Source organism: Homo sapiens, chromosome 6 (genome assembly GCF_000001405.40).
Source record: "Homo sapiens chromosome 6, GRCh38.p14 Primary Assembly".
Taxonomy (NCBI): Eukaryota; Metazoa; Chordata; class Mammalia; order Primates; family Hominidae; genus Homo; species Homo sapiens.
The window spans coordinates 46,975,916-47,002,876 of NC_000006.12; the positions used below are offsets into that span (position 1 = coordinate 46,975,916).

Sequence of the window (26,961 nt, forward strand, 5' to 3'; positions counted from 1 at the left end):
CTGGCTGCCTGCTGTTGAAAACATAAGGATTGTCCAGGGCAGTCCTAACTTGACTATTGTTGATATTATATTTATTATTTACTTTTTTAGTAGATTGAGAGACATATTTAGCTTTTGTGGAACATATTAGGTTTCCTGCAGCCTAGAATAGTGTAATTTTGGACATAAGTGAAAAAATCATGCTCCATGTGTACTTTTAACAATAATTATTACAGTTATGATGGTTATAATATATTGTGTACCAGACACTGTGATACACATTTCATGTAGACTGCCTTATTTTATTTAATGCTCATAAATACTTTTCAATATGGGTGTGAATATGTACATTTTAACTGAGGCTTGGAGAAGTTAAATACTTGCCCAAAGCCACACAGTTAGTAAGTGATGAAGCTGGTATTTGAATGGTACTGTCATACTCATGCAGACTCAGAAACACAGGTTAGGCTGCTTTCTTGTACAATGCAGTTTTATTCTGCATCCAGCTCTCATATACCTATCATTTCTTAATCCTTTGAATTATAATCAAAAGCAACAATCAGTATATCAAAGCGTTACCTGCACCCCCATGTTAATTGCAGCAGTATTCACAATGGCCAAGATATGGAACCAAAGTAAGTGCCCATCAATTGATGAATGGAAAAAGAAAATGTGGTATATATATATATAGAAAGGAATGCTATTTGTATTTGACCATTAAAAAAAAAGAATGAAATCCTATCATTTGCAGCAGCACGTATGGCACTGGAGGACATTATGTTCAGTGAAATCCTATCATTTGCAGTGTGGCACTGGAGGACTAAAAGTCCCCAAACAAGGCTGGGTGTGGTGGCTCACACCTGTAATCCCAGTACTTTGGGAGGCTGAGGCAGATGGTTCTCTTGAGTCCAGGAATTTAAGACCAGCCTGAGCAACATGGCGAAACCCCATCTCTACAAAAAATATATGAAAATTAGCCGAGTGTGGTAACATGCACTTGTGGTCCCAGCTACTTGAGGGGCTGAGGTAGGCCCAGGGAGATCAAGGTTGCAGTGAGCCAAGACCACACCACTGAACTCCAGCCTGGGCAACAGAGAGGAACCCTATCTCAGGAAAAAAAAAAAAGAACGGGAAGAGAAGGCAGACCTAGATAACCACAGAATGAAAATTACTCAGATATTAAGAGACAGTACAGAGAAGAGGCTAAAAAAAAAGTCCTTAGTAGATTTTGAAGTAAGCGTTAATGGACATAAAGAAAACTGTTTTGGTAAGATGCTACGTATTTCCATTTATTATATTCTTCAGAGTTACATAAACTTTGAAACGCTTATCATCAGTTTAGCCAATGTTGACAGCTTCTCAGTTGCTCTTGTCAGTTGCTCTTCCAGGAGCCTCTGGAGGATCCATCACTCAGTAGGAGGCAGCACCTGATGCATAATTTATAGGACACAATGCAAAATGAAAATGTGGGCCCTTTGTTAAAAATTATTCAGAATTTCAAGACAGTGACAGTAGAGCATTAAGCTTGGCCATTCTGAATGTGAGAGCCTCTGTGACTCACAGGTCACACATCCGTGAAGCTGTCCTTGATAGGGGCACTCAGAAAGAAGTGTGTCCTGGGCTGCAATGGCAGTGACCAACGTCCTATTGGAAAGCCACACATCTGTTTCTCATCTCTTTCTAGGCCCACTGAGCACCTTCTCTCAAAACACAATAATTTCCATCAATCTTTCCAAAAATTATTTAGAAAAGAACCCTTGGAAAGCTCACAATATTTGAACACTTCACACTTTCAGACAGTATATAGTTCCTCTAATCCTAGGCCTAGAATTTGGGTAATTGCTTCCACCTATGCATTCATCCATTTATTCTTTGGCATAACAGCTAGCTGGAGCTAGCTGGAAGTCTCCACTAAAAGTGTTAAGATACTTTCATGACAAGGTTTTAGAACCATTTTCTTACCATTATTTTTCAGAAGAAAAAATTTGGCATAAGAACTTTAAAATGTTTGAGGCCGTAGTAAGTATTCTTATATTAAGAAGCCTCTGAGGCCAGGCACAGTGGCTCACGCTTGTAATCCCAGCACTTTGGGAGGCTGAGGAGGGCGGATCACGAGGTCAGGAGATCGAGACCATCCTGCCTAACAGGGTGAAACCCCGTCTCTACTAAAAAAAAAAATACAAAAAATTTAGCCAGACATGGTGGCAGGTGCCTGTAGTCCCAGCTATTCGGGATGCTGAGGCAGGAGAATGGCATGAACCTGGGAGGCAGAGCTTGCGGTGAACCAAGATCGTGCCACTGCACACCAACCTGGGCGACAGAGTAAGACTCCGTCTCAAAAAAAAAAAAAAAAGCTTCTGAGTCTAGACTCGGCCCATATGACACATCATCTGTTTGCTACCTATTTCCTCTAGAAGCTCTGGCATTATTAACTTTTAAACACAGCCTTTTATAGGAGATCTAGCTCCCTCAGATCCTTTGTGGAATGGGGATCAGTGACAACTAGCCTCTTAGAAGGCCTGAGAGCCTCAATATCTCCTGTCTTGCAGACTGCTAAGCATCCTGGATGATTTAACTGTCAAATGGGATTACTTTCTTAGTCCTCTTGAGTACTTGATTGCCCAAACTTTTATTTTGTTCAGCCCAGAAATCGTATGCTTTCCCACCTCTGTGCATTTGCCTGTTCTTGTCAGCCCACCTGGAAGGCTATTTCCTCACTCCCCCTAAGGCTACACATCTGAATTCTTCACATCCTTCAAGCTTGATGACCAGGACTTTTAACCCATTAATCCCACTTTTACGAATCTAATGAAAGAAAATGATCAAGAAAATACATACACACACACACACACACACACACACACACACACACACAGAGACACACACACATTATATTACTCTATGATTTACATTACAAAATCAAAGCAATTTATCTTGATCTCTTAATCTTAAGAGTCACACTTTAACTCACTTAATTTTTCTAATGCATATTACAAGTCATGTATACTTAATGTAATCTTTTTCTTCATTCTAAATTTTTAAACCCGTTTCACTTAAAAGTCAATGATGACTTAGAATAAAGGAAATATCACTAATGCCCCTACAAAGTGAGGAAGTTTGGTCCACAAAACCACCCCCATTTTTGATGACAATTACAGAGTGGCAGGATTCTCAAGACCACTCTCAGTTTCAATAAATCACATAACTCACTGAAAGCTGTTATACTAATGGAAAGAATAGAGGATAAAATCATCTAAGATAAGATGCACACAGGGCAGAATACAAGAACAGTCCCAGCATAGAACTTCCATTGGTGCTCACCCAGTAGAATGAGGAATGTGACTCCTCTGGCAATGATGCATGACAATACGCACAGATTATTGTCAACCAGAGAAGGCTACTTGATTCTTGGGAATCTGGGTTTTTTATTGGGTTTTGATCATGTAGACACAATTGATTGTCTATGAGGCTGACCTTTAGTCTTCAGCCCCTCCAGAGACTGAACTGATAACTTTTGTCTCCAGCCCCTCCGGGGGTAGAAAGGATACCACGTGGTCCACAGCCCCTCCATAAATCACACTGTTGGACTGTTCATCGTGGCTCAAAACCCCAGGAAAACAAAGATAATTTTGTCAGGGAGGACATTCCAAGGGCCTAGAAATCATCTCTCAGTAGCCAAGGGCAATGACCAGATCTCTCTTTGGGTAAGATTAATTATTTACTGTTTAGCCTCCAAATGAGGGATTGGTTAAATTAAATATAGTACCATAATATTATGGGATAACACGCTGCTCATTAAAATTATGTTTTGAAATGTACTTATGACATGGGGAAATTTGTAGAGCATAGTCTTGTGTATATTTAATTTGAATTGTTTGTGTATGTGTATGTGTGTTGTCTTTAAGCTAACCAATAATATATTTACATTCTTCTGCTTCAGTGATTTTTTTCAATTGCCCACATTTAGTTTCCACGTAATATGTGTGTGTGTGTTTTTTTCTTTTCCCCATTCAGGTTCTGTATCTTTTTTTTTTACAGAATAACAGAGACTTTTCCTTTCTTCCTATTACCTTTAGTCCCACTAAATATTGCCAGGCTTTGGCAACATGTAAAGTCAAAGAACAGGGAAGTCTTCTTTAGAAAGTCCTCCTTGGAAAGTCGGTTGTAGAGACAAGACAGTTTCTCAGCAACAATTCTCTCTGTTTCTCTGCCTATTAAATTTATTCATTCATTCCTTCATTTATTGAACAAATCTTACAGTATTTATGCTAAGACTGGGGCTGGCTATACAGATGAGTAGAGCCATAGGGTCTTCCACTTAATGGGCTTGGAACCTGGTAACAGAAAGAAACATGTAAAGGATAAGCTACTATATATGACAAAAGTGTCCTTTTCCTCCATAGAAACCCAAAGTGGTCCAGCATATTCCAATCTGGAAACTGAGAAATTCAATAAGGCCACTCTAGCTGAAGCCATAGAGGGTGGAGGCATTTGTAGTACATCTTCCTTCCTCTGTAGGTTCTGTACCATCCATCCTACAGACAGATCTTAGAATGTGGTGTTAGGATGGAGGCTTAGACATCTGCTACCTTATGGATCCAGAATTCTGATCATTTTTCTTTTCTTCTCTTTATTTTGGAATTTGACTCTTTGCTTTCCTCTTAATCCTCAAACTCAAAAGACACACCACATTGCTATTCAAGACATTAAAATGGCAGACCAGGTGTCAAAATGAATTGACCTAAATGATTCCAAGTTTTCGACACTTTAATGATTTCACAGTAATTTACCTGGCACCATTTCTGATTTTACCAATTGTTGTAGAGCAAAACAAACAAAGAAAACAATAACAAAATATGAATCATCAGTTTATTTTTCATAAAAATGATTAATTTGAATAAAGGTATGTTATTCATATTGTTTAATAACAAGTACACACACATGCATACAAAGTGAAAAGTACCGTGATAACTCAGAACAATGACTGTAGAAGTGTAGAAACAAAACACCATATTCTACGTAGAGAAATAAGATGTCACTCCCGCCTCTTCTCATGCACAGAATCTGTCTCAACCCCCAATGTTAGTTGATCCTAGGACCCCTAAGATTGTCTTTGGCTCCATTTCTAATGATAGCCTCATGCCATGTATCTAAATCAGCTGTTTCTGACTCAATGTTAGATATCTTCTTAAGTCAGTATTGTTATTACCAACTTAAAAAATAAGCTCCACCTTTTCTGCTCTATTCAAAGCCCAGGGGTGTGGGAGAAATCTCCCTGACTACAAGCCAGACAGGGAACACACAAGAACACACACACATGCACATGTTCACAAACCAAACAACCACCAGAAAGAAAATGCATCTCATTTGGGCCTGTCCAGAGGGCTTGGTAAACAATGGAGAGGATTGAGTGGAAAAAATACCAAAAAACCTACTTGAAAGCCCTCATTTATATGTTTAAAAAATAACAGGGAGATGTGAGTGGCTCTCAATTATGGTGTGTTGAGGTGGATATACAGTCATGTTAAATGAATGAGCCTTACTTTCCTCTTTTCCTCTGGCTATATTTTCCCTATTACATCCAGAGCTACTTTTTTCTTAAACCAGATTTATAAATGAATAATATTGAAGGCAAATTTGTTTTGACCAAGGTGATGCCTGTGTTTCAGGTTGCATGAAGAGGGAAAATCTGTGAACAACTTATTCATTGGGTCTAGTTCATGGGTTAGTTGGTTAGTGCTGAGAAAAACACAGGTCCACCTTCCAGTGGGTTCTTCTTTGCATTTTGAACATCTGGATGACTTAACTGAATCTTAGCTTTTATCCAATCACCTAGCTTTCCTGTAGACAATTTTAGCATAATATAAAAGTTCTCTAAAATAGGTTAAGGTTGACCTTTTCTCTTATAAACAAATATAATACACATCATACACACAGTTGTAAATGCAAACACACACATACACACACACACACACACAGAAGCAATTTCTGGTAACGGAAATCAAGAATTACAACATGGAGTTATTTTTTATTTCAAATTTCTTGAATTGTTTCTTGGCCTCTCTCTGCTCATTCAGGAAAACATGAGTCCCTCAGGAGCATATATTGTGTTTCCAACTTCCTTTCTATCCTCCATGGCACCACACCATTTTGAGCATAATAGGAGCTCAGAATATGTTAAATGACTATGTATATGAATGACTCAAAACACAACTCAATGACTGAAAGCTTTTTAATTAGAAAATTTCAGAAAAGATAACTATTGGTTGCTGGGCTTCATTCCTGGGTGATGAAATAATCTTTACAACAGACCCTCGTGACATGAGTTTACCTGTGTAACAAACCTTCCCATGTAACCCTGAACCTAAAATAAAAGATTAACTTAAAAAAAATTCAGATGCAGGCAATTCATATTAGAGTCTTGTGTCAATGAGTTAACTGCCATCAAGAATAAAGTAGTCTTCTATTGCAAGGAGTGCGTAATCTAGCTAGTGAAACAAGATTAATAGAGGTGAAAAACAGCAGAAGATACAAAAATGATGCAGTAAGCACCCCACTGTAACATCTTGATGACTATCTGAGTACTACAAAATTCAGAGGAGAGGGATGTTGATGGAAGCAGGAGCAGACAGGGCTGTCTTCATGCAGGATACAGGGTGCCGCTGGAACCTGGAAGGGCAGTGAGGTTTGCAAAGGTGAAAGAGAGACTGGGTAGTTTTGCTAGTTGAGTGAAATAACATGGTGAGGGATAACTTTTCCTTTTGGGACTAGAGCATAAAAAGCAGATGAGTATCAACTTATTTGTTCTTGGAGCCTGTGTACCCCAAGTCAATAAAAAATAACACCTTGCAAGATAGCTGAGATTAGAAGAAAGCAAGGAGACTGGCCAGACAAGCTTAAGGCCTGTGATGGGTTTGCGACCACATGGGAATAATATATAGTGGGTGATAGACACCCAGGTCCCCTAAAGCAGGAACCTGGTCGGCCTTGTTCATTTTGTTCACCACTGTATCTCCAATGCCTAGAACAGTGCCTGGCCCTTGGTAGGCACCTAAATGATTTTTGTGAAATATAAGAATGAATCTTGAAATATTGTTTTTAAGACTGAGTTTGAGGCCCAGCTTATACACACTGAAGCAGAACCATTTCAGAGACCAACAGAGTGAGTGCTGTGTTTGTTTTCCTGGATGGGCTGGCCTCCAGTGGTGTTTGCTGAAAATACAAGCCCATTTCCCCATTAGAGTAAAGGTGAAAAAACTCAAGGAATGCTCTCTTCCCTTCAGAAGTGTGTGAAGGTAAATGTCTTTTTGTAAGCTAGTCTGCTCCCTGCCCAAGCCTAGAAGCATGAAATTTGATTGCTCATTCCAAAGTATGCATGACTACCAATGTTAATAAGGCTCATAAAAGTGCTTAGCCCTTTATAAACAAACCCATTATTTATTCTGCCTGTCTCATCTGTGCACTCTGATAATTGAGTATGTGTGGTAGAGCTTGTTGTGAAAAATGGCTTCAAATCTAGTCAAATCCCCTGATTTAGTTTCAACTAAATGCAGAGAATGGATCTGTCCCAAGATTAATAGATTATATTTGAAAGGAGGAGATACCCAACTAAGAGAATAAGGACTTGAGATGTAATTTCACAGGATAAAAATAAAAAGATCATGTTTTGTTTCTTATCCTAGAACTAAGGGATGCTTTGTGGTATTGATCACATTCTACCTTGGTTAATGTTTTCTATCAAGCTGTTAGTTTCATGCTACCAAGAAATGTCAGTGCTCAGCCACTAAAACACTGGACATGAAATTCATGGTTATATGTAAACTGTGATATTTCCATTTTTTTCTGAAAATGGCACTTTTCTCTCATGCTTTTCACCTCTTCCACCTTGAGGCTTTACTTTTGACAAACAGAAGAAATTAAAGAGATTCTTCCCAATACGCACATCTATTTCCTGTGTGATCTCATAAGCCTTCAGGGGAAGATGGATGCCAGTGTCTTACAGACGGCAATCCTTAGTGTCTGCACTTTGTTTCCCTTCTAGGGATATAAAACCTTTGTAACCTCCCCACAGTGTACTCACAGTGGCAGCAGGAATAGAAATGAAATCTGTTCCTCTTTATGTTGTTTCTCCTCCAGTTGCCCTCAGGCTTTCCAACATTCAACAAAGGGTTTTTGTTGTTGTTTTTGTTGTTGCTGTTTTTGCTGTTGTTACGGAGTCTTGCTCTGTCGCCCAGGCTGGAGTGCAGTGGCATGATCTCGGCTCACTGCAAACTCCGCCTCCCAGGTTCAAGTGATTCTCCTGTTTCATTCTCTCAAGGAGCTGAGATTACAGGTGAGCGCCACCATGTCCGGCTAATTTTTGTATTTTTAGTAGAGACGGGGTTTCGCCATTTTGGCCAGGCTGGTCTCGAACTCCCGACCTCAGGTGATCCGCCTGCCTTGGCCTCCCAAAGTGCTGGCGTGAGCCACCACGCCCCACCCAACAAAGGGTTTTTTGTTTCTTTTTGTCTGTTGGAAAGGTCTCCCTGACCCCATCTCTCCCAGAGATGAGCTTAGAGTGAAAGTGAAGAATTTCCTGGGGGCTTCTCAAGTGACCCACCCTTTGTATATTTCCACTGCAGAGAGAAGGAACACATTTCTGCAGCCAGGTGCGGTGGCTCACGCCTGTAATCCCAGCACTTTGGGAGGCCGAGGCGGGCGGATCACGAGGTCAAGAGATCGAGACCATCCTGGCTAACGCGGTGAAACCCCGTCTCTACTAAAAATACAAAAAAAATTAGCGGCGCGTAGTGGCAGGAGCCTGTAGTCCCAGCTACTCGGGAGGCTGAGGCAGGAGAATGGCTTGAACCAGGGAGGCGGAGCTTGCAGTGAGCCGAGATTGCGCAGCTGCACTCCAGCCTGGGCGACAGAGCGAAACTCCGTCTCAAAAAATAAAATAAAATAAAATAAAATAATAAAAATAAATGCAACCTGGAAGCCTGGCTTCCTGAGGGTGTGACCTTTGGCTCTGGGGAAGTTATTCATCCATCTTGGCAGGCTTGCCTGTGGCAGGCTTATGGGAGTTAAGTTTGGAGCTTCTGACCCCTCGAAAGGCTGCACAGCCTGTGAAGAATGTAGGAGGCCCAGCTATTGAACCCTCAGCCATGAACTCCATGGCCAATATTTTCGCAGGCTGTGCATTCTTTTGAGGGATCAGAAGCTCCAGTCCTTGCTTCCCCAGCCTCATTTCCACAATCTCTGGATGGACGAGCATGCCAAGGATGAATAACTTCCTGAGAGACCAAGGACCCATCCTTAGGAAGCGAGGATTCCAGGCTATTCCTTCTCCCACCTGTGGAGAAGTACAAAGGACAAGTCCCTGCACCAGTGGTGGCACGGGAAAAGTGTAGCTGTACCCAGGCAAATATTCAACCAGGAGCCAGAGTTGTGTCTAAAAATGACACACATGGACCCCGACTCCTGGACTCCTCCTCCTGGGAATGTTGTAAGGTTATGGAGCATATGTAGGACCCACATGCTGTAATGTACTTTTATGTAACGAGAAGAAGCATTCAGAAGGGAAAAGCTAGAATTTGGTCACAAAGTCTCAACTCTTGGTCGTGGAAGTTGCTGGCCATGTCTAATCTTGAACAAAGTTACTCCTTGCCCATATCTGTGCCTACTGTACATTGTTGCACGTGAAGTTGGGGTTTATTGGCTGCCCTGGAGGGAGAGGCCCAGAGTTACACTTTGATCTGGGGCTTGACAGTGCACTCCTGGGCTGGCAGGGAGCGTGGAGGTGGATGGAGTGGCCGGGACTGGGAGGGTATAGTGGGGGCATAGTTGATACTCCTCTTGGAGGTACCCTCAGGATTTGCCTCACAATCTTCTAAATATCTATTATGATAACAACATCTGCATCTTTGAGAGAAGTGTAAATTTTTTGAGAAAATGAAATTGATCCAGACCCATGGGTATAATTAACCATGTACATCAAGGTAGTTTTTGTTTTGAAAAATTGGGTGTAACTTGAAAGCTCTGAATACAGAGCTCTAGAGATAGACCTAAAGTCATGAGGTCAGCCGAGTGTGGTGGCTCACGCCTGTAATCCCAACACTTTAGGGGGCCAATGCAGGAGGATCACTTGAGCCCAGGAGTTTGAGACCAGCCTAGGAAATACAGTGAGACCTGTCTCTACAAAAAAAAAAAAAAAAAAAAAAAAATTTAAATTTAGCCAGGCAGAGTGATTCATGCTTGTAATCCCAGCTACTCAGGAAGCTGAGGAGGGAGGATCGCTTGAGCCTGGGAGGCAGAGGCTTCAGTGAACCATGATTGTGTCAATGCACTCCAGCCTGGGTGACAGAGGGAGACCCTGTCTCCAAACAAAAACAAAATGACATTTTGGACTGGATAATTATAAAAAATAAAAAATAAAGTTATGAGATCTATTTTCTTCTGCATTTTAAACCTGGCTCAGTTCTCACAGGAAATTGCCAAATTTCTTTTGTGAGCTTTTGAAATAAGCATTAAATATGTCTAGAAGGCAAAATACATACATGTGGAAAGTGGAATCCTACTTATGTGGAAGGATGAAGTCTTGAACAACATATTCCAAACTTTTAGCAGTGATTATGTTTTGGTGGGGGACAAGTGGGTGCACAGGGAACTGGAAAGTCAAGTATAATGAGGAAAGAAATGCATACTTTCTGTCTTATAAAAATTTTTACATTTCCAGTAAAATAAAAGCTAATAATATGAGCTAACATATAGTAGGCACGTACTATGTTCCAGGAATTTTGCTAAATATACTATTTCATTTGATTCTGATAACAACCCTGTAGGCAGTTACCATTACTGTTTTAATTTTACAGTTTGGTAACTGATGTTTTGGAGAGACTAAATTACTTACCAGAGGATGCACGGCTAAGTGTGAGAGCTATAATGTAAACGTGGCATCCCGATTCTGTAATTCTGGCCACTCCACTGAACCTCCTCAAGTAAGTAAGTAAATAAATAAATAAATAAACAAACAAATAGAAGTAAAAATTCCTCTTTGGAAAGCAAGGAGTCAACCTCATTACCTCATAGTCACACCTCCTATACATCTTATGCTTACACTCAAATGTAAACTTTGGTTCATTTAAGCAATCAAATGTACATTTTTGTAATACACAACCCCTCTCAGCACCTGCAACACCAGGATAAGGAAAGTGCATATACATTTGGGGGAGGCAGAGTGGAGAACAGAAGAGAGGCCACAAAAAGATACCTGAGGCTGGTGATTGGTCTTCCCTAAAGTGAAAAATAAAAGGCGGAAGGACAGATGGGCTAGTATGAGATTGCAATTTAGGACACTGAAAGTGCTGTAGACTTGGGAATGTCCTAAGTAAAAGTAATACTGATGGTTTTTTGATATATTTTAAAAGCCTATTTTATATTAACAAGGTAAAAATAATTACAAGCATATTTGGGTTTACAGTTCTTCAGTATCATTCTGTTAAAAAGCCTTATTTTCCCTGAGCTATTTTTCTTTCTACTTGTCAAGGGTCACTTTCTTCTTCATAGGCCCCTGTAGTCCTTCCCCTTACCTTTAAAAGACATTTTCTTTTTTTATTGATACACAATAGTTATACATATTTATGGTGTGCATCTGATATTTTGATACATTCATATAATGTGTAATGATTCCATCAGGGTAATTGGGATATTCATCACCTCCGGCATTTATAATTTCTATTTTTTGGGAACATTTCAAATCTTCTTGTCTAGCTGTTTTGAAATATACAATAAATTACTGTTAACAATCACCTTGTTGTGCTATCAAACACTAGAACTTTCATTTTTTGTATCTAACTATATTTTTGTGCACATTAACTAACCTTTCTTCATCTGTCTTCCCCCTTCCCAATCTCTGGTAGCCATCATTCCTCTCCACCTCCATGAGATTAACTTTTTTATATATGAGTGAGAACATGCAATCTTTTTCTTTCTGTGCCTGGCATGTTTTGCTTGATATAATGTTCTATAGTTCCATCCATATCCCTGCAAATGGCAGAATTTCATTCTTCTGGATCATATAGTAGATTTATTTGAAATTTTTTGAGGAACTTCCATACTGTTTTCCAGAGTGGCTCTACTAATTTGTCTTCCTACCAACAGTGCACTGACATTCCCTTTTTTCAGCATCCTCACCAGTATTTGTTACTTGCTGTCTTTTTAATAATAGCCATTTTAACTAGGGTCCAATGATATCTCATTGTGGTATTGATTGCCATTTTCCTAATGATTGCTGATAATGAACAGTTTTTCATATGCCTGTTGGCCTTTTGTATGCTTCTTCTGTAAAATTGAGCAGGCATTGCCTAAGCCATCTGGATAAAATACCCTTAAAGGAATGTTTTGCCTGAAACATTCATGGCCCACTGACCATACTTTTACAAATTTGGGCTTATTTTTTCTTCTGAAAAAGAGGAAGTAAAAAGAAAATTACTGATTGCCTATCATATTACAGGCACCAAACAAGCTGCTTTAACTTTACCTCCATTTAGGTTTCCAAAGAACCCTGCAAGGTAAATGTCATCTTTCTCATTTTACAAATAAAAAGGAATAAGATGGCCTGTCCAAGGTGGTCAGTAACAGAATTGAGGTTTGAACTCTGTCTATTGTCCCCAAAGACTGTGTTTTCCTCTATGCACATTGCTTTTCAGTAGTAATGATGTTCTATAGAATTCATGTTTTATTATTAACATTAGTGTCATTAATGTAAATAACAGCCACCATTTGTTGAATGCTTACTAAATACCGGAATCCTAAGAACTTTCAGGCTTCTCTCATGTACTCTCAACAATAACTTTACAGATGAAGTAACCAAACTTTGGTAATGTAACCAAGTTAATATGGTTAGTAAGTGTTGGAAGCAGGCCTCAAACCCATTTCTTTCTTTTTAACAGTTCTATTACATTTTCCAGAATACTACCACCCAGCATTAATCACTTCTCTGCTCACATCATTACCAAGACTTTCTTGCTTACTGATGCTCACAGAAGTGTTGCTAATAGAAAATAAAATGGAAACAAGTTCTCACCCCCATCCCCTACTCTCCAGCTTCACAATTCTGCTGATCCTAACCTCCAGCCCTTGGTCTCTAACATTCCCTATCTCAGTGGTTCCCAAATTTGAGTGTGCACCAGAGTCACCAAAGAGCTTGCTAAAATAACAGGTCCCTGGGGCTCTGCTCTGGAGTTTCTAATTCAGAAGGTCTGGGGAGAAGTCCAAGAATTGGCATTTCCAATAAGTTCTAGGTGACACTGATGCTGCCCGCTGGGGATACTCCTGAGAACCATTCTCTGGTCTAAGAGAAAGCAGGCTATGAGAAATTCATATTGTTGCAGACTTTCATATGTAAACAATTATCAGCATAGATGATAGAAGTGATTCCACGAATGTGACTTTTTTATTTCACCCTTTTTAAATTAGTTGTTGGGGAAGGGGTGGCTGCATAACATTTCCCACAATGTGGTGAAGTAGAAGACAGATAGGGCTGGCTCTCCTGCCCAGACTACCTCAGGAAGAGAGAGTCACATTATCACCAGTGCCAGGCAAAGCTTTCATGCTGTGAAGAATTATCCTTGGCAGTGCCCAGCAGCATGTTGTCATGGAATTCAAAGCTGCCTTGCCCATCCGTGTTCAGGGATATGGCTGAGATCTAAGAACTAGGAAACCTTATCCACAAATCCAATGTGTCCCTTGGCAGCACATCACACTGAGGAACTCCTTTGCTCTGGTTTCGAACATCAGGTCAGAATTCCAAAGGGGCGTTGCCTCCCATTTGGTTGGCATAATGTAGCTGTTGGCAATGTTTTATCTACAATTTCTACCCAGCAAGATAAAGTCTTGCCAAACCCATTTGGGCTGCTATTCTTCAGTGATAAATTTCTCTTCTCCCAGCGTGATACTCATGAAGAGACCCAGAATTATAGAAAGTCAGAGATAGAAGAGACCTTTAAGCTTATCAGATGAATGTGGATCTGTGGTTTTACAGATGGGAAACTGAAATACAAGGAGACAACAGGAAGAAGCTAGACCCCAAGTCTCCCAAAGACTCCCTGTCCCACAGAAAAATCTCCCCATTCCCCCACAGGAGCCAATCAAGGAAATACAACTGGGCACATTTGGTTAAGATCAAGCCAGGTGAAATGTGGACCCCCTATGGGAGAATTCATGGTAATCAGTGAACTAGGGGGACTCTTCCCCATCACCTCTTTTAGTTCTTTTCTCCAGTCTCACCCCTCCTCCACTTTGCCCAGGTTAGCAGGAGACTCTCAGATAAAGGATATGGAAAAATTACCTCATGGCGTGGTGTTAAGAATGTTATTCTGTTAAAAGACAGCCCCAGTGTACAATTTCTCTCCAAAAGGGATACACATCTATGGATAAAATATAATCTGTTGCTGCTTCCTGAGGTGAGGTCAGTGGGGAGGCTTTCCGAACAAGGGAGGGGAGCTTGCTAAGGTGAGCCCACGCCACAGTGGTGAAGGCTGAGGAGTTAACTGCAAAGCAGCCCTGAGCGTTCCAGGCCAATCCCTGGGGACCTCGCAAATCTCTGTACTGCATTCAAGTCACTGTTTTATGTTTGTTTGTTTTATTTTGTTCCCTCCACCCTAAGACCTTGGGTACAAAGTGGAATCTGTAAACAGTTTTATGTAATTCATCCACGGAAGTGGGGCTCTAGGCTGACAAACCTATATAAAATTTTCCAGACTATTCCTTCCCAAAGTAAGAAATGAATCCAAAAAGCACAGAATATTTCTAATCTATTTTTCAAACCACATATTTGAATTAACTCTGTTTTGCCCAAGGTATCCAAGGTATAACCCATTGATACGACTCAAATAATAATAATAATAAACAAAAACACTGTTTTTCTAGCAGATAAAAATTCCGTGACACCCATGGCTACTTCCCGCTTTGCTTAAAGCAGTCTTCAGTGTTTACCAGCACACTTGGGCATAAATCCAGGAAACAGAGGCATTGTTTGCCATCAGGAAACAGAGCTATTACAGTTACAGATCCCTAATCTCCTTTATTATACAAACCAAAGCAGCAACAATGCAGATTGCCCTTAATTAGAGTGGTGAGATTAAAACGCCTTTTGCACCCTCAAATTCAAGAGTGAATTTCAGGTGTATTTAAGGTTTAAGGAAGTTGTCCAGGATTTATTTCTTGGTCTGGACTGCCCCCTGAAGTTTGATAAGGGTAAGTACAGTATAGGCCTACTGCCTTCTTATAAAATGCAGATTGTCTTTCCACAGAAGAACCACTTGAGGTTGTCGCAAGATGGCTAGGTATTGACAGAATGTATCTCAAAATAATAAGAGCTATTTATGACAAACCCACAGCCAATATCATACTGAATGGGCAAAAACTGGAAGCATTCCCTTTGAAAACCGGCACAAGACAAGGATGCCCTCTCTCACCCCTCCTATTCAACGTAGTATTGGAAATTCTGGCCAGGGCAATCAGGCAAGAGAAAAAAGTAAAATGTATTCAATTAGGAAAAGAGGAAGTCAAATTGTCCCTGTTTGCAGATGACATGATTGTATATTTAGAAAACCCCATCGTCTCAGCCAAAAATCTCCTTAAGCTGATAAGCAACTTCAGCAAAATCTCAGGATACAAAATCAATGTGCAAAAATCACAAGCATTCCTATACACCATTAACAGAAAACAGAGAGCCAAATCACGAGTGAACTCCCATTCACAATTGCTGCAAAGAGAATAAAATACCTAGGAATCCAACTTACAAGGGACGTGAAGGACCTCTTCAAGGAGAACTACAAACCACTGCTCAATGAAATAAAAGAGGACACAAACAACTGGAAGAGCATTCCATGCTAATGGATAGGAAGAATGAATATCGTGAAAATGGCCATACTGCCCAAGGTAATTTATAGATTCAATGCCATCCCCATCAAGCTACCAATGACTTTCTTCACAGAATTGGAAAAAACTTCTTTAAAGTTCATGTGGAACCAAAATGAGCCCACATTGCCGAGACAATCCTAAACAAAAAGAACAAAGCTGGAGGAATCATGCTACCTGACTTCAAACTGTACTACAAGGCTACAGTAACCAAAACAGCATGGTACTGGTACCAAAACAGATATATAGACCAATGGAACAGAACAGAGCCCTCAGAAATAACACCACACATCTACAACCATCTGATCTTTGACAAACCTGACAAAAACAAGCAATGGAGAAAGGATTCCCTATTTAATAAATGGTGCTGGGAAAACTGGCTAGCCATATGTGGAAAGTTGAAACTGGATCCCTTCCTTACACCTTATACAAAAATTAATTCAAGATGGATTAAAGACTTAAATGTTAGACCTAAAACCATAAAAACCCTAGAAGAAAACCTAGGCAATACCACTCAGGACATAGACATGGGCAAGGACTTCATGACTAAAACACCAAAAGCAATGGCAACAAAAGCCAAAATACACAAATGGGATCTAATTAAACTAAAGAGCTTCTGCACAGCAAAAGAAACTACCATCAGAGTGAACAGGCAGAATGGGAGAAAATTTTTGCAATCTACCCATCAGACAAAGGGCTAATATCCAGAATCTACAAATAACTCAAACAAATTTACAAGAAAAAACCAAACAACCTCATCCGTAAGTGGGCAAAGGATATGAACAGACACTTCTCAAAGGAAGACATTTATGCAGCCAACAGACACATGAAATCATCATCATTGGTCATCAGAGAAATGCAAATCAAAACCACAATGAGATACCATCTCACGCCAGTTAGAATGGCAATTATTAAAAAGTCAGGAAACAACAGATGCTGGAGAGGATGTGGAGAAATAGGAATGCTTTTATACTGTTGGTGGGAGTGTAAATTAGTTCAACCATTATGGAAGAGAGTGTGGCGATTCCTCAAGGATCTAGAACTAGAAATACCATTTGACCCAGCGATCCCATTACTGAGTATATACCCAAAGGTTTATAAATCATGCTACTATAAAGACACAAGCACGCTTATGTTTATTGCGGCACTATTCGCAATAGCAAAGACTTGGAATGAACCCAAATGTCTATCAATGATAGACTGGATTAAGACAATGTGGCACATATACACCATGGAATACTATGCAGCCACAAAAAAGGATGAATTCATGTCCTTTGCAGGGACGTGGATGAAGCTGGAAACCATCATTCTCAGCAAACTATCACAAGGACAGAAAACCAAACACTGCATGTTCTCACTCGTAGGTGGGAATTGAACAATGAGAACTGGGACATAGGGCGGGAACATCACACACTGGGGCCTGTCGGGGGGTGGGGGGTTGTGGGAGGGATAGCATTAGGAGAAATACCTAATGTGGATGAAGGGTTGATGGGTGAAGCAAACCAACATGGCACATGTATACATATGTAACAAACCTGCACGTCGTGCACATGTACCCTAGAACTTAAAGTATAATTTAAAAAAAAAGAACCACTTGGAAAGAAACAGAATGGGACTTTTACCAACATTTGCATTAGTCTGATAAACACTGAACTACAGAGTGACCCTCTGTCAGCCCCTTCATTTGTTCTGGAAGCGTAAGAGAAATGGAGAAAATTAATCTTTCTAAAATAATTCTTTACAGATCTGGAAGAGCTTATTCAATAGAGGGCTATGCAAAGTCTAAACATGAGTTCTAGGTGAAACTTCCTGACACTGGAATTTCTTACTCTGAGGTCCTATTATATCAGTACATCAATGATCTTCATGTTTCAAACTCAAATAGTCAAGTCAGGGGCCTCATCTTCCCTGACTCTCAGCCGTATTTAACCCAGTTGCTGTCTTTGAAAACCTTCTTGAAATGTTTCTCTGAGCTTCTAGGACATAACATTCTCCTGGTTTTCCTTCTACCTCACAAGGGTGTTCATTCTCACACCTCTTTACCGGATCCTCCTCCGCTCCTCTCCCTTTCTGTAAATGGTGGGGTACACCAAGGATCTCCTCACTTTTCCACCAGTCCCTGCTAGGTTATCTCCTCTGGTCCTATGGCTTTAAGCACCATCCCTATGCTGGTGACCCCAGGAATGTATCTCCAGCCCAGAAGTTCCCTTGAACAATGGGTTGGTATACCCAGTGACTCACTTAACATCCCAAATTGATGTCTCATAGGCATCTCAAAGACCTGAAGCAGCTGACTAATACCACATAAGAGTGGAGAGCACTGAGCCTCCAAGTTCAAGCAAATAAATCAAAGCGACTTCTAATTTTAGGATATCCTGAATGTTTCCTTCAATTTACACAACACACACAGGTGCGTGCACCATTTATTTATGTTTAATGAAAGTCATGTGAATATGATTTTAAGAGTCAAATAACTCTGTGATTCCCTGATTCTCAGAGACAAGTATTTTGAACTGATTTAGCTGGTTCTTTTGGTATTTTTCACTTATTTCTAAATAACATGATTATAATACTACTTCTTGGTTTCTCACTTTTATTGATTTACAAAAGCAAAGAATGAAGATTTATCAGGGGTGTCCAATCTTTTGGCTTCCCTGGGCCACACTGGAATAAGAAGAATTGTCTTGGGCCATACATAAGATACACTAACACTAACGATAGCTGATGAGCTAAAAAAAAAAAAATCACAAAATAAACTCACAATATTTTAAGAAAGTTTATGAATTTACGTTGGGCTACATTCAAAGCCGTCCTTGGCAGCATGCAACCTGTGGGCAGAGGGTTGAACAAGTTTGATTTAGATCTCTTTTGCCATCCACTCCCCCCACCAAAACACTCTCTAGTCTCCACCTTCTCAATATAGTTACATTGTTATTAGTTTGGTTATATCAAAATCATTTCACATTATTGAGATTGTTTATATTCTATTAATAGCTGAGCTAGGTTGTATGCTCTGTTTTTTTCTTTTCTGTACAGCTTTTTGTTTCTGTTAGATGTTGTATTTTCTTTTTACTTGCTTGAATATATGTGTTCTAATCAAAATTCATCCCCAAACTCTCCTTCTCCAGTAAGTAAACCTCTTCTAAATAACACTCAGATGCATTGTTTTTCTTTTTCTGAGCAATCTCTTCTGAAGATCCAGCCTGGATCTGCCCTGTAACTGCTGTCTGGGAAATTCCCTTTATCCCCATCAGAAAGGTTCTATTCCCTCTGCTTCCTTTTCTATTGCATCCTTTGTTTTGCTGGGGTCATGTCTTCATCCTTCTAGGTTTACTCCCATATATGGCATGGCATGGCATATTCCTCAACAATTTTGAGGAAAGGGAGCATTGGAGGGAAATTTATTGAAAACTTCCGTGCATAAAAATATCTTTATTCTTCTTCACATTTAGTTGCTTCTAGGTTGCAGTCATTTCTCCTCAACATTTTGACTGTATTCTTCATTGTTTTCTAGCCTATAATATTACTGTGGAAAGTTCTGATAATATTCTGATTTTTGACCCTTTGTATAAAATCTGTTTTTTTTTCCTCTCTGAAAGTGTTTAGATCTTCTTTTTGTCTCCTGTGATCTGAAATTTTGCAATGATGTGTCTAACTATGGTTTTACTTTCATCCATCCTACTGAGAATTTGATGGGAAATTTCAATAGAGAATCTCATGTTTCTTAGTGATAACATTTTTTTCTCCATTTATTTCTTTAATGCCCTTCCTTCTGCTTCTTTCCTCTTTTTTCTGCAAACTGTACTCAAGTTTTGAAACTCTTGGTTTTGTCCTCTAATCCTCTCTTTTCTATTTTACATCTATTTTTCTTTAATTCTACTTTCTAGATCATTTCCTAAACTTTATCTTCCAATCCTTCTATTGAAGCATTTTATTAACGATGTTTTAGATTTCAGAGATATCTTTTTGTTGTCTGTGTATTCCTTGTTATAGCACTCACTTTATAGAGGCAATATCCTACTTGAGGATAAAACTGATTGTCTTTTAGGTCTCCTGCCTTCTAGTATGATTTTCTCTCCTAATGTGTATTTCTATGTTTGTTTCTTCATTGCTCTAGGTGAGCTTATATCACAGGACTAAAGGTGAGACTGCATTGCCTCTCCCTGCCTTTTATTTTTTCTTTTTGGCCTCTGCATTTGATACTGGAAGCTTTTGTAAAGTACTTAATGATCCTAGGCTGTTTGCTTATATTTCAGACTGAGACACTATAAAGCTGATTTGATGGTTGGATTGTCTGTGTATGAGGACTCTTGGCCTTCCTGTAGGGTGATTATCTGGAAAAATAATTCCTTAGTAAATATTCAAAGTCAGTATCTTCAATGTTTCCTCCTGTTATAATCAGATTCTCCAGAGATGCCTGTTCAGACTTGACTTGGGTCGGCTGTGTCCCCACCCAAATCTCATCTTAAATTGTAGCTCCCATAATTCCCACGTGTTGTGGGAGGGACCCAGTGGGAGATAATTGAATGATGGAGCCAGTTTTACCCATTCTGTTCTCATGGTAGTAAATAAGTCTCAAAAGATTTGGTGGTTTTACAAGGGGAAACCCCTTTCATATCGTTTTCACTCCCTTTCTTGCCCGCTGCCATGTAAGAAGTCCCTTTACTCCTCCTTTGTCTTCCACCATGATTGTGAGGCTTCCCCAGCCATGTGGAACTGTGGGCCCATTAAACCTTTTTTTAAAATAAATTACCCAGTCTTAGGTATGTGTTTATCAGCAGCATGAGAATGGACTCATACAAGACTCTTGCCTTAAAAATGTAAGACTTGCTGCCATTGTTATATGTCAACTTTCACTAAACCTTTTGTTTTCAGGATGGGAAAACCTCTCCCAACTGATTCTGCTGTCTCTCAGTCCCAATATCCCATCTTTTTCCACATCTCCATATAATCTATTAGTAGGATGAAGGAAAGGACATTTGCTTGGCTACTTGGGATTAGAGAGGTACCTGGGGGACCAGATGCTTCCTAAATTGAACTTGAACCAACCAAATCTACTATTCAGTCCCATATTCATCCAAATTCTTAAGGTACCTGGTGCTGCAAAGTCTTAAGTCTCTTGGGGGATTCTGCAGTGTAAAGTAGGTTGCTTCTTGTTTTTCCCCACCACTGGCTTAATATTTAACTTTCTCAGGTCTTCTAAGTCAGTTCACACCACCCCACCTGCTTTCCAAAGGTGTGTTGCTGTTATCTCCTCTCTTGTTCCCAATCTTTGGAATTTCATGTCTGTGACCTCCAGTGATCCCTCCCTCCTGGCATTCACACCTTTTGAAATGCCCTCCTCTCGATTGTGGCCAGGGCCTGTGACTTGGTTCTAACCTGTGAAATATGGCAAAAGTTATGGGTTGTCACTCTCCTAATTATCTTACATTAAACAAGACTCTCTCTTAAAAGCAGACTGGAGTTAGAGACTGTCCTTGCAGGCTTAATGTTGTAAGTGGCCAAGTTGGAAAAGCCCATGTGGTGAAAAAAATAGGGGTGGCCTCTAGGGTCTGAGGATGAACTCTAGCCAATAGTCAGCAAAAAGCCACCATTCTCATTCCCACAACCACAAGGGGACAAATTCTGCCAACAACCTGAATGAGTCAGAAGTGAATTCTTCCCCACCTGCACCTCCAGATGACATGACAGTCCATCCAGTACCTTGATGACAGCCTTGTGTAACCCTGAGCAAAGTACAAGCTTAGCTGTGCATGGAATCCACCCATGACCACTTTGAGATAATAAATGTGTGTTGCTTTAAGCTGCTGAGTTTGCAGCAATTTTATATGCAGCAATAAAAAACTATCATAACAGAAATGGAATAAACTATTATAATAGAAAACACAGCAATAGAAAATTATTACAATGCTATTCACTTTTTCATTATTTTATTGTTGTTTTAGTAGCATTTTGAGGTGAATGTATGCATAATCAGTGAATTAGACAAGCATGCACATACATGATATCTGATCAAACATTTTTTTGTCTCTCATCATCCTCATAAAATTTATTCAGTGGGAGAAGCTTTTTCTTCCATCAGATACATTCCAGTTGTATGCCAACATACTCAGGTAAGAGCAACATTTTGGTCATTTTAAATAGTTTGGTAATTATGACTCCCAGTCGCCTACAATAAGAAGAAACTACAATAATTTAGTACTAAATTTTTCTTCCCTCTCCAACTGAGTCTTGTGTTGAGTTGCCTACTTGCGCTAGCACATCTTCCCTTGCTGGTTGACATTTTTGCTAAGATTTCTCCCTCTCCTTCCACCCCACCTTGGACACGGAGGTTTCTGGCCTCCCTTTCCCCAAGGTCCCCAAAAAAAGAAATCTGTCTTATGAGATAGGGCTGCCTTCACATGGTGTCAGGGTTCTCTGGATAGTAATTGTGTGTAATAAGAGAGGGAGCATTCAAGAACTCCCATAGAAATTCTCATAGCCCTGACTTCTCATCTTTAGCTTGTGTAGATTTTTTTGTATTCCAGGTGGTCATTTGTGACTCCTTCCTCATCCCACAATCTGGCTTCACCTCCCACTTCTTGATGCTGGGTTCCCTCCACCTCTTTGGACAACCCTATCAGAGAGGACCTAAAAGAGCCCCATGCTGACCTTCACTCTTGCATGTCTCACTATGGTTCATGGGAAACACACACATCCATTGCCCTGACAAACACTAGACATACAGGCTATTCTCAACACAGAACTCATTCAGGGCTCTACTACCGGAGCTGTGGCCACAATTCTAGGCAAGAATCAGACTTCCATCAGCCATGCATCCTAATTGTTGTGGTTCTGAGAAATCTGAGCTATCTGAGCTATCTGAGAAATCTTCTCTCACTAAATTTGAGGTCAAGGAGCAGACATTCCTCCTTCTCTCACTTTTGTGGGTAGGTAGAGTGAGAAGGCTCATAGAGCAGTTTTCTGCAAAGAAGTCTTTCTCATAAAATTCTGTTGACTCTCATACATATTTGTGGGGTATAGAACCATCTAACTGATCCTCAGTCATTTCCTTTGAACCTCTCACTTTCATATTTCATGTGTGCTGCACCTTGGTGCCTTGTGGAAGTCTAACTTTGAATTTCTCTCAGGTATGCTTATTTAATCTACCACCACTAACTAGAAGTTCCCCCAGCTGTCTTTATTTGCATAGCATGAAGGCTTTCCATGTCAGGAGGCTAAGAGACACTCCCTAGGCCTCTCAAAACAGCAAGGATGAATCAAAGGCTCGGGTTCCTCTGGGCACTATGGTCACGGCTGAAACTCAGGTAGGTGAGCCAAATGTGATGGAAGTATGGAAGAGAAGTGTTGCTTCACATAGCGTCAACTCCTGCTGCTTTGTATGTCATCCAAAAGTGGCACTGGCTGTACAAGAAAATAACTTCCACAAAGTGCCTATGGTGTATTATGAAAGAAAATAAGGATGTTTTAAGGTACCTCCCTGGAAGCTGACAACCAAATTCTCCCTTAATTTCTCTCTTACATAGAATTCTGGGAATGGTGAACTGTGTAACTGACCTCAGAAAGATTTACTAGAGATGTAGGTAATTTTCAAGGCTTTTATTGGCTGTAGAAATGGTCTGGGAGACAAATGTCCTAAAAATCCCCAATTTCCCTTAACTGGCTTCACAATCTTTGGCAAGTCACTTTACCTCTCTGAGCCCCCATGCCCTCATCTCTGCACTAGGTCTGCCTTGACACTTTTGTTTGCAGGGTTTAGGACCAGATGGAAGTGCCTTGTAAACTGAAAAATACCACATTATATATCATATCACATTATTATACTTTCTGATAAATGGTTACAAAGCTATCTGAAATAGAAGTTTACATTTTATTTCTGATTAACTTTCAATATTAAGTGATAGAACCTAAGAAGCAAAAGCGAACATAAAATTCAACTGGAAAATTTGAAAGAGAAATGGTTTTTTCTCTAGGAAATTTGCACTAATAACTTTTTCCCACCATCCCCCCACCAGTAACTTTTTGACAAGAAAATGAACGTGGCCTATTAATTTATCTAAAGCTATTTCATAAAATTTTCTTCCTTCAATCCAGATTATTGGAAATGCCATGTGAATAATGCTGTTTTATGAAAATAGAAACCATATTTTATGGTCAGGGTACAACTGACACGATTTCCAACAAAACCTACTCTTCTGCATTTATGGAGCACTTTCTTTGAATCAAATCACATGGAAATAAATCTTCTTTTCATTTAATTGAAGACAAAAGGGAGCAGTAATGAAGCCACTGAGACATTCTTGTTTTATTCCCAGACCCCTAAATCAGAAAACCCGATCGAATACTGAGCATAATTTCTTCATTGACATTTGTCTCTAAATGTCAAGTTGTTCTGGAAATTTTTTCTTGATTTTATGATTCCTTGCCTTATTCATTTGAGACAAACTGAGTTAGCATGATGTTGTCGGAGGAATCTCCAGTATGAGAAAATGCATAATGGCCTGAAGGGGAAAAAAAAAGGAAATAATTATTGTTACTCTGTTGAAATCAAGCATGAGACCAAAATGAAAATTAGCCTGTAGATTATTTCACAACTAGGAACAGTTTTTAAAAGATTCTAGGTAAAGACAAAAAGACTGTGGTTGGTGGAGAGAAATAGCATTTCACCAACACCCCAGAGGCTTGCATTTGTCAAGTATCACTTATTTGAGAAATATCATGTTTTTCAAATATTGCTGGGAAATGACATAAAGTAGATTGAGATCACAATATGTTATTGCTGGAAGAATCTTAGTAATCTCTTAGCTTTTTATTTTATAGATGAGGAACAAATGTCCCCAAAAGGTAGAGACTTGTAAAAAAGCGCTCAAGCTGACTGGTGGCAATAACAACAGAACCCAAGGGTCCGGGACAAGCACATTCTCCAGACACTTGAACTTTATCTGGAATTTGAATAATTTCAATGGGAATATAAAATGAGTTTCCTACATTAATGATGACATTAACATAACTGAATGTGAAATGGGACTTTAACTCTTAAGCATGGTTTCAACTTAGCTTGTAAGGCAATGTCTCCTCCTCCACTTCCATGTTCCAACCTTCTCTCTCCTCCAAGAATGCTGTGGCTACTTGCAATGTTTAAACACTGGTCTTGCAGTTGCTCAATAGCACAGACTTTAGTAACCGCCAATCAATGAACATAGGGCCAGTGCATGTCACAGGTGGAGGAGACAGTGCTCTTTCACTCTTAGCAGGTGTGGCCCCTTCCTGCCCAGGGGCATTTTAGGGAGGAGGACATGTGCAACATCAGGGCACAAGCACCTGGCCGCGTGCCCACTGCTTGGCAGCTGGCACAAAGGGGTGATTCTCCAATAAGGACATAAATCGTGTTAGTCTAACCACACTCCTTCCCTTCAAGGCCTCAATGATCAATGCCACAGATTTATCTAATGTCAAACTTGGGAAATAGAGATAATTTGTGATGACATTACATAAAGACACTCTCTGGTTCTCCATGAGCATCAAGTCACCTACATTGTTCTGTCAGCCCTGAGCACGGTCTGGATGAACTCTGAAAACATGGCTGGCTGATAATCCCACACTTCTCACATGAGTTTCTTACATGTTGCCATTGAATTTTATTCATATGATATACTCATATACTCTTTTCACACCTTTTATAACCTTTGGTTTTATTGTAACTCACCTTTGTTTTGCAGTGGGTTGAAAGGCTTTGAGAATTTGGGTTTGGCAGATAAATCTGATGAGTTTTGCTGCACAAAATAAAAATAAGTCATTTGGACATTAATAGCATTCTTTTACTGTTGGTCTGCATTTCCTGACTTCCTGATGTTATTCATGATTCTTTATTTCATTTTCATAGGTGCTATTCTCTTTTTAAGAATTTAGAATGGTTACTTTCTCACTCTTTCTTCTGCTTTAATCTATTTAAAATGCCTAAAAATTTATTTTCAAGTGAATGCTGTGTTCCTGTGTATTTTTATAACTTCTAACAACAAACTAGAAAACAGTTTTAAAGGCGGCATTATCCCTTTTCATGTCTATGCTTACATTTCTTTGGATCACATTTGTTACTGGAAGAGAAACCCATGGAGGAAAATGGAGGAAAAACAGTGCTCTGACTAAAAATGATTCTCAACAAAGCTTTGCTTTACTCTTGCTCATCTTAGCTCTCAAACCTACTTTTGAATGACGCTTTGGTCATTGCTACAGAGGCTATATAGAGTTCAATAATTTAACAGCTGAATTATAAAATTAAATAAAATATTTGAAACAAAGAGCATGTACTTATCAGGAAAGATAAATGTGTTTACATACATTATATATTTTTCTACTCATTAGTTCATCATTCATTTGTCCATTAATTTACCATCTCATATTGAATGCCTTTGTGTGCCAGATGCTGTTCTGGCACTGGGAATATTGGAAGGAAAACTTCCATTCCTTGCTACAGTCTATGCCACAAGGAAACCAAACCAAGGTGGGAAAAACATGTTCTTATTATATTCAGTAGATAGACCAGTGATAGTTTTTCAATTTTCACTGGTATTAAGGCACACTGAGTTCTGAAAAAAAAAAGCTACAAAAATAAGAATTAAAAATATTTGAAACTTTCAAAGCAAAATAATTAATTTTCTAGAATTCAGGGCTCAGCAAACATTTAATGCTATAAACCTTTAAAAAAATCATAAGGTCAGGGATCATGGCACTTAAAATTGCATCCTGTACCATTTGGAGATAGGAATTTTAGGTTGTAACATACTCAATATACTTCCTTGTGGTCTGGGAAGAAGTAGCCTCTTCAGGTGTGTGAAGTTATATGGGTCGAAACACTTAGCCAAATAACAGGCCGTGAGTTACTGGAACTCAGATGTAGGTCTGTAAATCTATTCTTTGTGGAGGGGGGTCCATTGAGGCCACCAGAGTCTGTGACTTGGAGAAGAGTTACAGAGAACATGCCTAGGGACAATGGAGGGTCAAGACAGGGGCCTGAGCATGGAGAAGATTTGGGGTCCATACAGTGTGCTGTGGCTTGAAGGATGGTCCTTGCTGAGACTATTG

General features: G+C 39.6%; 1 protein-coding gene and 1 long non-coding RNA gene across 3 annotated transcripts in view, besides 1 other annotated feature; both read right to left on the minus strand.

Annotated features, from left to right (window-relative positions):
* Positions 1 to 6,197: 6,197 nt before the first annotated feature.
* Positions 6,198 to 8,245, minus strand: LOC124901489 (uncharacterized). The gene is made up of 2 exons (XR_007059922.1): positions 8,060 to 8,245; positions 6,198 to 6,648 (listed from the first exon to the last, which is right to left on the minus strand). It is a non-coding gene; the product is annotated as an uncharacterized LOC124901489 (long non-coding RNA).
* Positions 8,485 to 8,986: an enhancer, noted in NCBI's record as "H3K27ac hESC enhancer chr6:46952137-46952638 (GRCh37/hg19 assembly coordinates)". NCBI's record gives its function as "activates a minimal SCP1, AML or CMV promoter by ChIP-STARR-seq in primed H9 embryonic stem cells {active_cell/tissue: H9 hESC(primed)}" and the evidence as "EXISTENCE:reporter gene assay evidence [ECO:0000049][PMID:30033119]".
* ADGRF1 (adhesion G protein-coupled receptor F1) overlaps positions 21,793 to 26,961 on the minus strand; it is a 44,625-nt gene continuing 39,456 nt past the window's right edge. For both annotated transcript variants that reach the window (NM_153840.4, XM_047418639.1), the window contains 2 exons: positions 25,586 to 25,652; positions 21,793 to 24,380 (listed from right to left, as the gene is read on the minus strand). In NM_153840.4, the coding sequence (NP_722582.2) occupies positions 24,307 to 24,380; positions 25,586 to 25,652 (141 nt within the window). In that variant the 3' untranslated portion in view covers positions 21,793 to 24,306. The remainder of the gene's footprint in view (positions 24,381 to 25,585; positions 25,653 to 26,961) is intronic.